Consider the following 13,040-nt stretch of genomic DNA (forward strand, 5'->3'; position numbering starts at 1 on the left):
GTAGTTCCAAATTAAATTCACTGTTTAATCTAGCATGAGCTGAATTGATATTCTTGCCACATTTTCTATTTGAGAATTAAGCTATTGATCAGGAAAGTGAGATCAGCTATCCCAAACTGTACTTCAAAGAGTCCTTCCAAGGAAAGGTTGTCTCCTAAGTGATGCTGTAGCAATCCTAAGGAAAGATGTAATTTTTGAAAATATTTGTTTTGGTGGATATCTTATAATCAGAATATATAATATATTCAGAATGTATAATATATGTAATATAAAATATATGCTGTGTATTCTGATTTTTTATTTAAGACATATAAATGTATTGTGTATAAATGATCATGTTTAATGTTGAGGGCTAGGAGATCTTTTTAAAAAATCATTGAGAACAATTTAAACCTGTATCCCAAAATGTGACATGTTACACCAAGGGTTGGCCAACTGCAGCCTATAGGCCCATGGGTATTATTTCTCCAGAATCGTTTGTCGATCTCTGTGTTACACCATACTTGGTGATGGGGATGCAAAATAATCAAGGATTCTGCTCCCATACAGCTTACAATGAAGGGTTTCTCCTTAGGGAATTGACCGTATATAGCTCCTTTTTTTTTCTTCTCTCCCTCCCTCCCTCATCCTTTCTTTTCAGACTCTGCTAAAATGTAAACATGTCTGATAAGAATCTTCCAATTGTTCATAAGTTTTTCCCTTTTCTCTTGTGTTTACTTTTTAATTTTAAAATAACGATAGCATTGTGTATCTACTGACATTGCCGTGTAACAAATCATCCCAACCTAAGTGGCTTAAACCAAGAACCATTTATGATTTCTCATGAGTCAGAGTCAGCTGGGGATCAGTTGATTAAATCTTGGCTTAACTGGCAGTGACTCTGCTCCATGTATTTCTCATCATCCTGCTGTCAGTCTGGATAAGTCCTTCTCATGGTGATGGCAGACAGCAAGTTGAGACACAACAAGGCCTCTTGAAGTCTAGCTTGGGACTCGCATACCATCATGTCTAACTCATTTTATTGGCCAAAAAAAAAAAAAAAATCACTTGACTAAACCCAAAGAGTGGGAAAGTATGCCCCCACCCTCAGTGGGAGGGTCCTGGAAAAGTTACATGGCAAAGGGTGTGAAAATTTGGGATTAATAATACAGTCCATCAAAATGTGGTATAGTATTAATATATAGCCTACAACCAGCATTAGGAGCTGAGCTACATCTCAAGTATTTTAATGCGTATTGCTTTTATATGCAGCAAAGATCTGGACAGCATGGACTTACTCCTCAGAAGTCATTCTATAAGGGTACCAGGAGTATGAGGATCCTAAATCCCTTCAATTTAGTTAGTATGTATCAAATGCCTTATTTGTGCCTAACACTATATTAAGTTATGGGGCTTTAGGAGCTTTAAGTCAACGGTAAACACAGACCATGGACAAGTACTTAGAAGATGGTGTGAGAGTTCTAATAGTTGAAGTATATATTGGGTATATAGGTAGCAACAGAAAAGAGGAATAATCATCTCTGTGAAAAGACATAGAAAGCTGTGTGGAGGAGATACTCATATTAAATCTTGAAAGATGAATGGCCAGATGCGGTGGCTTATGCCTATATCTCAGCACTTTGGGAGGCTGAGGTGGGAGGATTGCTTGAGCCCAGGAGTTTGAGAACAGCCTGGCCAACATGATGAGACTCCATCTCTACAAACAAAACAAAACAAAACAAAAAAACAGTTAAAAAAGTAGCCAGGGGCAGCAGTGCACACTTGTAGTCCCAGCTACTCAAGAGGCTGAAGTGGGAAGATCACTTGAGGCTGCAGTGAGCAGTGATCGTGCCACTGCACTCCAGCCTGGGTGACAGATCAAGACCCTGTCTCAGGAAGAAAAAAAAAAAGATACATCTTGAAGGCTGGAGAAGTCAGCATTCCCTGCAGAACAAGTTCAGGTAGAGAAGTACTAGTTGTAGGAAATATCATGGCAGTCTGTTAACTCTTAGAAATTAAGTACTATAATTAAAATCTCTTGTTTCTACCCAGGTAATAGAAGAGTCTCCAAGAGCCAGTGAATAACTTTGTATTTTACTCCTTCTTACATTATTTTCATTGCAGTTCTCAAATGTTGGCATGCATCAGAATCACCTGGAAAACTTGTTGAAATACAGAGTGCTGGACCCTACCCCCAGAGTTTCATATTCAGTAGGTCTGGAATAAGACCAGAGAATTTGCATTTTGAACAAGTTCTCAGATGATTCTGATGGTGCTGGACCAGGGATAACACTGTGAAAACTATTGCTTTATTGAATCCTTCCTGTGTATCTGGCAGCCTGTAATGTGCTGAGTACATAAAGATGAAAAGAAAACATCTGTGCCCTAAAATTGTTTATAATAGGGTGGTGGGAGACAGACGAGTAAATGTATAATGATAGCACAATGGAAAGCATGCTGTGATACGTGGAAGTACAGGTTGTGGCGAGAATACCCCAAAGCGCATCCAACACAGAATGAGGCCAGAGGTTGCAGATGTGTATAAGACCCAGCAAAAACCCTTAATCCTGAGCTGAGTTTTAAAAAATTATCATAAAATAAAACAAAAAGTAGTAACAAATAGAAAAATGACTTTGAATCATGCTTTGCGTGAGATTGGTAAATGGATTCCTCTTTAATGTTGCCTTTAAGATCAAAATTCTTTAGGAAGCTGTTGCTTTTACAGGTGGGGCAATATAACTCTGCATTAGTCATTTTGCAAACAAAATATATCCTTTCCTTTGTTATTTTGTTTTACTCTTCTTCAGCAATTTTTTAAGAAGCCAGAGAAAGATGTTGTGTTTATTATGTGTGATTCAACATTTTCACAAAAACTGCTAGAAATTTTATGTATGTCAAAATGCAGACAAAGCTAGACAAGAGCAGGAACAATCACAGCTAGTGAAACAGAGCTGGTTAGGCAGCTTGACCTGGGAATTTAGGTGTTGAGTCCATAGGTGAACAGGATCAGCTCTCCATTGCAATTGTAGGTTAGCGTGAGACCATGAGACAAAGTGACATCTTTGCCTCCAGAACAGCACTGATGCAATGGATAGATTATGGACCTGGGCAGGACTATAGATAGCTTTCACTTGGACATGATAAACTGGGTGAGGGGGTTGGGCAGAAATGAATTAGAGGTATACTTGAGGCAGGCTGCTGATTGGTCAGTTCTTTGAGTTATATGCCCAGAAAATGGAAGCAAGAACATGACAAATGGCTGGGCTAGTTTTGAGAAAAAGATTTATACCCATGAGGTTGTCTTGGCAATAAAGACATTCTGCCTTTTTAATGAAGCAGCCCTGAGCTATACTGTCATCACAACCTAAAGCGATAACACCTTTATAGGAATAATGGTTTGTGAGGCTTCTGGCTGTATATTTACAATTTTAAATTGAAAGCATATCCCTAAAGCCATGTAGAATATTTCACTTTATTTTATTTTTTTGAGATGGAGTCCCGCTCTGTCACCCAGGCTGGAGTGCACTGACATGATCTTGGCTCACTGCAACTTCCGCCTCCCAGGTTCAAGCGATTCTCCTCCCTCAGCCTCCTGAGTAGCTGGGATTACAGGCACGTGCCACCACAACCGGCTAATTTTTGTGTTTTTGTAGAGATGGGGTTTCACTGTTTTGGCGAGGCTGGTCATGAACTCCTGACCTCAAGTGAACCGCCTGCCTTGGCCTCCTTAAGTGCTGGGATTACAGGCATGAGCCACCACCATGCTTGGCCTGAATATTTCATTTTAAACAATTATACTCTACCTGGTAAAGGGAGCTGAAGTCCAGAAGAAATTATAAATAGAATGCTCAAACTTTAAAAGGATGTAGTGCAATATGTTTTTATTGAAGAATTGGTAATAATAATTATTTGTACTCTTTTTACTTGTCCTTTTATAATATAATTTAATTAACAATGAAATCTTGTAAACTTTTTCTTAGCATACATCTGTGGATGGATATACTGAACCACACATCCAGCCTACCAAGTCGAGTAGCAGACAGAACATCCCCCGGTGTAGAAACTCCATTACGTCAGCAACAGATGAACAGCCTCACATTGGAAATTACCGTTTACAAAAAACAATAGGGAAGGGAAATTTTGCCAAAGTCAAATTGGCAAGACACGTTCTAACTGGTAGAGAGGTAAGTTTGCACAATGCCTTTTAATATCTGCCTGGACCTCTCTGGAGTCTTGTTAAAGCTTCCTTATAGCCCATGTTTGGGAGTAAAATGACAGTTTCAATATGATTAACACTGGGGTGTGTGTGAATGGAACATTAGTAGGCAGAGGTTTATCACGGCATAAAAGTTGACCTTTTAATATTTAGAAAAGAATCATTCCTATATATTAGCATCTCATAAATCAGGTGTGCTGCAGATGAGCTTTCCTCAGATTCTGACTTTCGTTATATGATTTCTGTGAACATTTCTGATTGCCATTGCTGCCCAGCCCTCAGGAACAAAAGTTCTTGCTGCTTGATATAAGTTAGGTATAAATATGTAGAAAGTCACCTGCTAATTTGTATCTGTTTAGAGACTACATTGAACAAGTACTTCTATATGGGTGGTTTTCTCAGGTAATAAGATAATTGGATTTCTAAAATCTCGTGTGTTTTAAGTTATATGTATTTATATAGTAAGAATTTATATATTTGCACATATGTACGTTGTGTATATATACCTGTATGCTAGGGTTACAGACTTTATTTGAATAAATGTGTAACATTTTGTATTATATAACGTTTACTAGATCTGATTAGGACATTATAAAAAAAAATCTCAATCAGGCCCAATGCAGTGGCTCATGCCTGCAATCTCAGCACCTTGGGAGGCTGAAGTGGGCATAATTGCTTGAGGCCAGGAGTTCAAGACCAGCCTGGGCAACATGGCAAAACCCCAGCTCTACAAAAAATACAGAAATTAGCTGGGCTTGGTGGTGTGCAACTGTAGCTACTTGGGAGCTTGAGGTGAGGATTACTTGAGCCCGGGAGGTCAAGGCTGCAGTGAACTGTGGTAGCACCACTGCACTCCAGCCTCAGCAACAGAGTGAGATCCTGTCTCAAAAAAAAAACAAAAACTCAAAGAAAATATTTTTAATAAATTTTCACTTTGCTCTATGTATAATATTATTGTCGTTTCCCATTGAATTTGGTTCCTTCTGTCTATTCTGACCCCAGGAGCCATTCAGAGGCAGGGAATACTGGGCAGAGCCTTAGATATTCAAGTCCATTTTGTCAGTTTGCTCTAAGTAAGCTTGGATATCCAATCTCTCTACCAACATAATTGTTTTATTCACATAATATTTAACTTACTGCAAGTTCACAAGCCACTTCCCCCTATAATTGTTGCTTATCAAGATCGTGAGTAAAAGGTTAAGATACAGGATGATTTTTACTTTAAAGAAGGAAACTTAGAAGAAATAACAAAGCTTTCATTTCATTGGCTCAGGATCAAAAGATTAAAGACTTGGGTCAATGGAGTATATTCTAAGACTGCCAAATTATCAAAATGTTACTATCTGATTATGTGAACACCTAAAAAGAGCTAAATTATATCTAGTTAGGAATGAAACAGAAATTGGATTTTTTGAAAGTTTTATTCATTAAAATATGCATTTTTCAAATAGAGTTTAATGATTCTTCTTTTTTAGGTTGCTGTGAAAATAATAGACAAAACTCAGCTAAATCCTACCAGTCTACAAAAGGTATTTAATTAATTTAATAAGTAATTAAAATGTGAGTTTATCATTAATATGTGATGTTCTGTAAAATCAGTCATTCTAAATTTTCTATTAGGTACAATTCTACATTTCATCAATATAAGAAGAAAAGACATAATATAAAATGTAATGTTTATGACTTACCAAGTAGTTGCTTGAAAACTATCTACTACTTAAATACATGTAGTATATGAAAGAAATGTATCTCTTCTATTCAATAGAATAAAACCTTGTGTCATACATTTTGAAGTATTCAGGATTTGAAATATTCAAATATTTTGAAGTATTTTCAAGTATTCAGAATTGACCTCTGAAAATTAGACTTATATTAAATGAATAATCCATTTACTGATAATATCTGGTGCCTTAGCTGTTATATAAAATGACAAATGGTGGTGACCTAAGCCATTTAAACTTTTGTGAGTTTTCAGATAAAGTCCAGAGACCTTGCTGATAAGCTTCTTAATTAAAAATCTAGTTAGAAGTTAATATTGTTCATAGGTGAGTTTCCTTTTATTGCTTCATTTGCTCTTCTTCCTTCTTCCACAAGAACTACTAGTCTTTCAGATAACTCACAGTACAAAATAAGAATGTTTCTTTAAAGGATTGAAAATATGAAACAACATAGAGAGAAAAGAAAGCAGTTAGGAAGGGGATTGCCTTAGCAAACCAAAGCTGTTTCACGTTACTTCATTAATTACTTAAATGGGAAAATTTTCTCAGATGCACATTTTAGTACTTTAAAAATGAAGCAAATGTTTTAACATTTATGCTGTATGTGATAGGTTTGTATAGAGTGAGAGAATATACATTGTGACTTTTATTAGAATATAATGGGACCATTGTCACATATGTAATTTTAATACAAATGACTTTGAATTCCTAAAACAGAAAGAATCTTATAAGAAATTGTTAGTATGTGTGCTTACATCTGCTATGATTATAGCATTAGATTAAAAATTTAGATTTGTGATATTCAAACTTTCTTCTCATTTGGCTCAGTCCCAGATTTCTTCTTAGAGCTCTGCCTTTGTACTTATCGGAGATTCTTTTGAAAATTTGACAACCAGTATAACTTTTCATAACACTGATATTTCTGCCCAGTAAGAACATGAAAACTTTGCTGGGTTCTTCTTTTTCTGTGAATGTGAGATAATGTATTATGGGTCTCTTCTTGGAGAAAGTCTCTTCTTTTAGCACCAGTCTTTTTGCTAACCATGATGCCTTTGTGTAAGTGAGAAAAAGACATCCTACCTGGACCAATTAACTATGCAAAGATGCTGTTTTTTACTGGGCTGGAACCACAGTAGGACATATCTTTGCCTACCCCTGTGCTGGGAACCCACTTAAAATGCACAAACTGGGTAATTGTACACAGTGTCCCTGTCCATGGCCCACATAGCTTTTCTACTTTTCCTGGATTTAGTTGTGGGTTACTCTGGCAAATTGAGTGATTTTTAAGTGGCATCTAGAACTACTCAGGCCTGTTGTGCTAGCTGGAATACACAGCAATGCGACTCCTACTCTGTCTTTCCCAAGGTTGTATAAACAAAGTTGTACTTATTGAAACATGTGAACATGAAACTGAATGTTGCTTTCTTTATCTGAATAACTAAAACGTGTACTTGATGATGATAAGTAATTTCTGTCATAAAATCTACTAATCTTGTTGATAAAGTATTGCTTTTCCAAATAGGCATATAAAAATGATACAATTTTGTTTTCTTTAACCCGTGAAAATAAAGATGAAGACTCACTAAATGTAGCCAGTACACTGTGTGTGTGATTGTTTTTTGAGTGATTTACATGTATGTTGATAGATTTGCTTTCTTTTAGAAGTTCTGAAGGAAAAGCAGATCAAGTCTTCATTAATTCTCATGTGTTTAGAACATTCAGCATTTGACCTTTCCCATTTAGGCAGTAGCATCTCCCAGTCAGTCATACTTAAAAAGTAATGGAATGTGAAACAATCCATTTTTCCCTAGCATTGAAAAAGACAGTAAAATTTGCTTCCATGTCTTAGGTATACTCATAAAAGGCAGGTAATTATCGCACATTTATATGAAATAAGGATTCATTGTAATCTCACTTCTAGAAGTGTTTGGGTAAATTTGTTCTGGTTTGATCTGAATTTAAGCTGATCCCTCTCCTTTATCCTCTTCTGTGTATCAGATATTTATAGGAATTACTGCCTTCCTTTGCAAACATCAATGATAGATAAAAGAATCTAAAGTTGATACACCAACTGCTTAATACTGCCAAAATACAAAGTTCTTAAACGTGTTTGGTTTTTGGAATTGTTAAGTATCTTTGGCTTCAATATTGTTCCCATAATATGCTCATATTATTTGTATTACATATTTTGAATTAATGGAATCCAATTCAATGAGTTTTCATAGTTAAAAAGTATTTTAGGTAGATGCTATTTTTAGTTCTTCCTCTTCAAAGCATTAGTTCTACCTCATAGAATAATGTATTTTAGAAGAGGGTCCATGAACCATACTAGTGATTCCTGGGTTCTTTTTTTTTTTTTGAGACAGAGTCTTGCTCTGTTGCCCAGGCTGGAGTGCAGTGGCGCGATCTGAGCTCACTGCAACCTCCACCTCCCAGGCTCAAGCGATTCTCCTGACTCAGCCTCCTGAGTAGATGGGACTACAGGTGCATGCACCATGCCTGGCTAATTTTTTTTTTTTTTTTTTTTTTTTTGTATTTTTAGTAGAGACGAGGATTCACCATGTTGGCCAGGATGGTCTCGATCTCCTGACCTCGTGATATACCCACCTCGGCCTCCCAAAGTGTTGGGATTACAGGTGTGAGCCACTGCACCCTGCCTCCTGGGGTTCTTTTAAGCAGCCTACTAATGTTGAAGGAAAAGCAAGACAATAAAATAATATTTTTCATAGTTCATAAATTTGAAATGTAAGATCATTTTCTCAGAGATATCACTAGTTTTGAAACTTGGACACATCAATTGATGCAAAGATGACAAAGTTTGTGTCAGTCTGTCTCAGCTTACAGTCACCAGAGTGCAGTTTATCTCTGCTAACATTTTTGTATCTTCTGTGTATTACTTATTAATTTACATTTTCTATTGTTTTACTGTGTTATATTATGTTGCATATTCACAAAAGTGGCTAAGTGGTTCAGAAGTGATTTCCTAAGTAGTAAAATCTGTAATGAAAATAAAAACAAGACTTAGTACAACTCAGAATTATGTCATTATATAATAGATGACTGCTGCGCTAAAGTTTTATAGAATGTGAATCGCTTTGCTAGGACAGTGATTTTACACAAACAGGAAAAGGGTAAAACATTTAAATTATTGAATTCTGAAAATTAGACTTTATTAAATGAATAATCAAGTTACCGCTCGTGTCTGGTGTGTTACCTGTTATATAAAATGTTGTCAAATGGTGGCCTAAGCCATTAAACTTTTGTGAGTTTTTAAATAAAGCCCAGAGACCTCTCTGGTAAGCTAATTAAGTTTTCCAGATTATCTGCAAAATAATCTTTGTCATGTTGAAGAATTTGGTAACTAAAGGTAGAGAGGAGAACAGAACCATGGGAGCAATATTCAGAATTCAATATATTTTAGCAAATTATCAGAAACCAAACTTGCAAAACCAATCACAAAATTATTGACAAATATTTTTATCAAGGAGAGAGCACAAGAAGCTCTTTGGAAATATTCCTTAACAAATGTCACTATTGGACATATATTGAAATATCAGCTACTCTCACATATACATGCTATATAGCATATTTCACTCTATAGCTGAACAAAACCACTTATGTGCTGAGTACTTCTTTCATACAGTTCTTGTCACATGTGTGGATCATTTGAAGGAACAATTTGGCCAGTTCTTACGTGGGCCAACAAAAACATAAGTGATAAGAGAATTATTATTTTGTGAAATGATATGTAGACTGCATAAGTTATCTTTTAACCAATAATGATGAAATACCCCTAGAGCTTTTTTGAGGGTTAAAGGTGGGGATATTCTGCAAGGAATAATTCTGCCATGTGAATAAATAAGATTATGCCTAATAGCCAGTTACCCACTGTTTCACTCTCCATGAAATTAGTGGTCAGCAAAATGCTTTTAATTTTGATTTGGTTTTGGACAAAGTACTGAAAACAGAGTATAACATAAAATCATAGGAAGAATTGGTGGGAAGTATACTTTTCACACTGAAATATGAGGATTTTGAGGGAAAGGTGTTTAAACAAGTGTTTTAAAGGTGATACCAATAATATTAATATCTGGCTAAAATATCAACAGTTTAAATGTTGAGGATGTGATCATCAGATTTGCTGAGAAAAACAAACTGTGCAGTTTAGTGACCAAAAATCTGACTTTTCTAAACCTTGTTAGCCCTCTTTAATTACTGGGGAAAGGGCTCAATGACATATAATTGGGCATTTTTAACATACAGATGTGCATCCAAATATGAAAAATATCTTCCAGAGCAAGCATATCCAAAGAGTATGTCAAAAATCTATTTGCTAATATCCCTCAAATTAAAACTTCCAGTCTTTCACGTTTTGAGTTTAGTAAGCTCAACAACCTAGAATTTCACAGCCATACATAATCTTCGGGGAGAAATATCTCTTTAAGGTTAGATTCAGTAATCACTCTGAATGTCTTGAGAATTACCTGAAACATTACCTAATGCTTATTCATTTTCCCAGTCAATCTATGATTGTGACTTGGGAATTTTCTTGCTGATTTTATTTCTTGTATCTCTTTTGAAAATGTCTGCTTTTATCTTTCTCTATCATGACCAGTTTAGACAAAGTCACTGTTATCTTCTTGTAGCCTTCCAACTGCATCCACTTTACATACGTATACACACACACACACACACACACACACACGCGCGCGTGCGCAGAGAGAGAGAGTTTAAAATGTAATACATAGAGTTTAAAAGTTGTCAAGGATGCAAAATACGTCTGTGAATATGCTATCCCTTTGTTTAAGCTTTCAGATGGCGTTTTATTGTTTGTAGTCCAAAAATCAAATTCATTAACATGGTATAAAGGTCCTCACTTCCTTTTCCACCTCATGGACCATGAACTCGCCGTAGCTTCTCTTCACTCTCCTCTTCCCCGACTCCTACAGCTTTAGTGATTTTCATCTGCTCCTATTCATACTCTATTCCAGTTACCAGGCCTTTGCAACTTTCTCCCACCTTCTGGGTAAGGCTTATCTCCCCTCTTCCCTTAATTAGTCCTTACTCATTCCTCCCATTTCAGCCTAGAGTCACTTCTTCAGGGAAACCTTTCCTATTCCCCTAACAGTGTTAAATCCACTTACCCTCCATAAAATCAAGCACTCATAACCAAGGATTATTTATAAATAACCACTTTATTTTTATTTGTTTTGGTTTTGGTAGTCGTTTGTTGATTTGTTTGTTGACACTTTTTGTTTCTGATGTTTTTGTTTTAATGCCTGTATTCTACCTCTAACTCCAAAAACCTCTGTCCTAATTGCTTGGTTTTTAATAGCTGCAAAGCATCCATTTCTATGTTCTCAAGAAGCTACTTAAGATATACTGAAATCAATGTGGAAGAATTTTCTCTTGAGGGAAATGAAGGAGGCTTAGAGTCTTTAAGTCACCTATGAAGTTTAGACTAACTATCTGGCTGTTTTAAAAGTCACAGTCTTATTTTCTTATTTAGTTATTTTAAGCATCGTATTTTCATGTTTTTCTAAGCTTGGCAGTTTGTTGATATAATAAACTAGTCTATTTTTAATTTTTGGATGGGGACTTCAAAATGTCTTTCCCATTTTAAAAAAGTTGCTTTCTCATGATATTTATTTATTGCACTAAAATGTTTTGTTCTAATCTTGTTTTTAAAGAAATAAAACATCACAGCTATAATTGAAGACCCATGTGTCATTTCTTGGTTCCAGTCTTGTCTTTCCTACCTAGAAATAACCACTATTCTGAATTTGATCTTTCTTATTCCCACTTAAATTTTTAAAAACTTTTTTTTACATATGATTGTACTTAAAATACAGTATATTAGTTATTTTAAAATTTCCTATCTTTCTGTAATCAGATTTTTTCATTTAACATTGTCTTATAGTTTATTCATGCTAACTATATAGTCTCTCCTTTCCTTCCTTCCTTCCTTCTTTCCTTCCTTCCTTCCTTCCTTCCTCCCTCCCTCCCTCTCTCTCTCTTTCTTTCTCTCTCTCTCTCTCTCTCTCTGTCTCTCTCTCTGTCTTTCTTTCTTTCTTTTTTTGGACGGAGTTTCACTCTTGTTGCCCAGACTGGAGTGCAATGGCGTGATCTCTGCTCACTGCAACCTCCACTTCCTGGGTTCAGGTGATTCTCCTGCCTTAGCCTCCCAAGTAGCTGGGATTACAGGTGCCCGCCACCAAGCCCAGCTAATTTTTTGTATTTTTAGTAGAGACAGGGTTTCACCATGTTGGCCAGGCTGGTCTTGAACTCCTGACCTCAGGTGATCCACCTGCCTCAGCCTCCCAAAGTGCTGGGATTACAGGCATGAGCCACCGTGCCCAGCCTTGTTCATTTATTTTTTATTGCTATTGTTAGATCCCATTGTATGAATATGCCATGCATAGTTTATCCATTTTCTCCTTAATATACTATATCTATTTATTTTCCTGTTAGTGGATTTTATTGTTCTATGTATTTTATTTTGTTTTTCTAGTTAACTATTTGTTTTTACTATACAGATAATGAATGACCATTATTGTGTATATCTTTTTGAGAAGATGTATAGAGGGATGTCTCTCTTCAAGTAGAATTGCTGGGTTGAAGGGCATGCATAGCCTCAACTTTACTAGATAATGTCAAATTGCTCTCCAGTGTAGTTGTACCGATTTTTACTTAAGCCAACACTGTATGAGATTTACTGTTGCTCCACATTCTTGCCAACACTTTATATTACCATGTTTTAAAATTTTTGCCAACCTTATGGGTGTGAAGTTGTATCTAGTTTTAGTTTTAATTTCCATGATTTCTAATGAGATTGGCCATCTTTTCAAATTTAGGCTGCTTTTAAGTTTAATATCTTCTTTCTGAAATTATTTAACTTCATATCTCCAACAATTACTTTTACTGAGCACCAACTTATACCCAAAGCTGTGCAGGATCTTAGGAGAGATTCAAGTAATGTGAAATTGGTACTAGTTCATAAGAAATTATAAGACTTATAATCTTCTTATAAGAATCTTATAATCTACCTATGTGAAGACAAAACTTTGGGAAACTGACACAGGCTATCATTTATAGAATATTTCCTTCTATTACTTTGCAATGAATAA

The 13,040-nt window shown here is 35.8% G+C and overlaps 1 protein-coding gene across 12 annotated transcripts in view; it reads left to right on the forward strand.

Annotated features, from left to right (window-relative positions):
- Positions 1-13,040, forward strand: part of MARK1 (microtubule affinity regulating kinase 1) — a 136,326-nt gene that overhangs the window by 47,259 nt on the left and 76,027 nt on the right. For 8 of the 12 annotated variants that reach the window (NM_001286124.2, XM_005273134.6, NM_018650.5 and 5 more), the window contains exons 2-3: positions 3,960-4,163; positions 5,671-5,724. In NM_001286124.2, the coding sequence (NP_001273053.1) occupies positions 3,960-4,163; positions 5,671-5,724 (258 nt within the window). Of the gene's footprint in view, positions 1-1,251; positions 1,343-3,959; positions 4,164-5,670; positions 7,505-13,040 lie in introns of those variants that run through there. The other 4 variants (XM_017001305.3, NM_001286129.2, XM_006711326.5 and 1 more) reach the window with 4 other exon arrangements.

This window comes from Homo sapiens, chromosome 1 (assembly GCF_000001405.40).
Source record: "Homo sapiens chromosome 1, GRCh38.p14 Primary Assembly".
Lineage (NCBI taxonomy): Eukaryota > Metazoa > Chordata > Mammalia > Primates > Hominidae > Homo > Homo sapiens.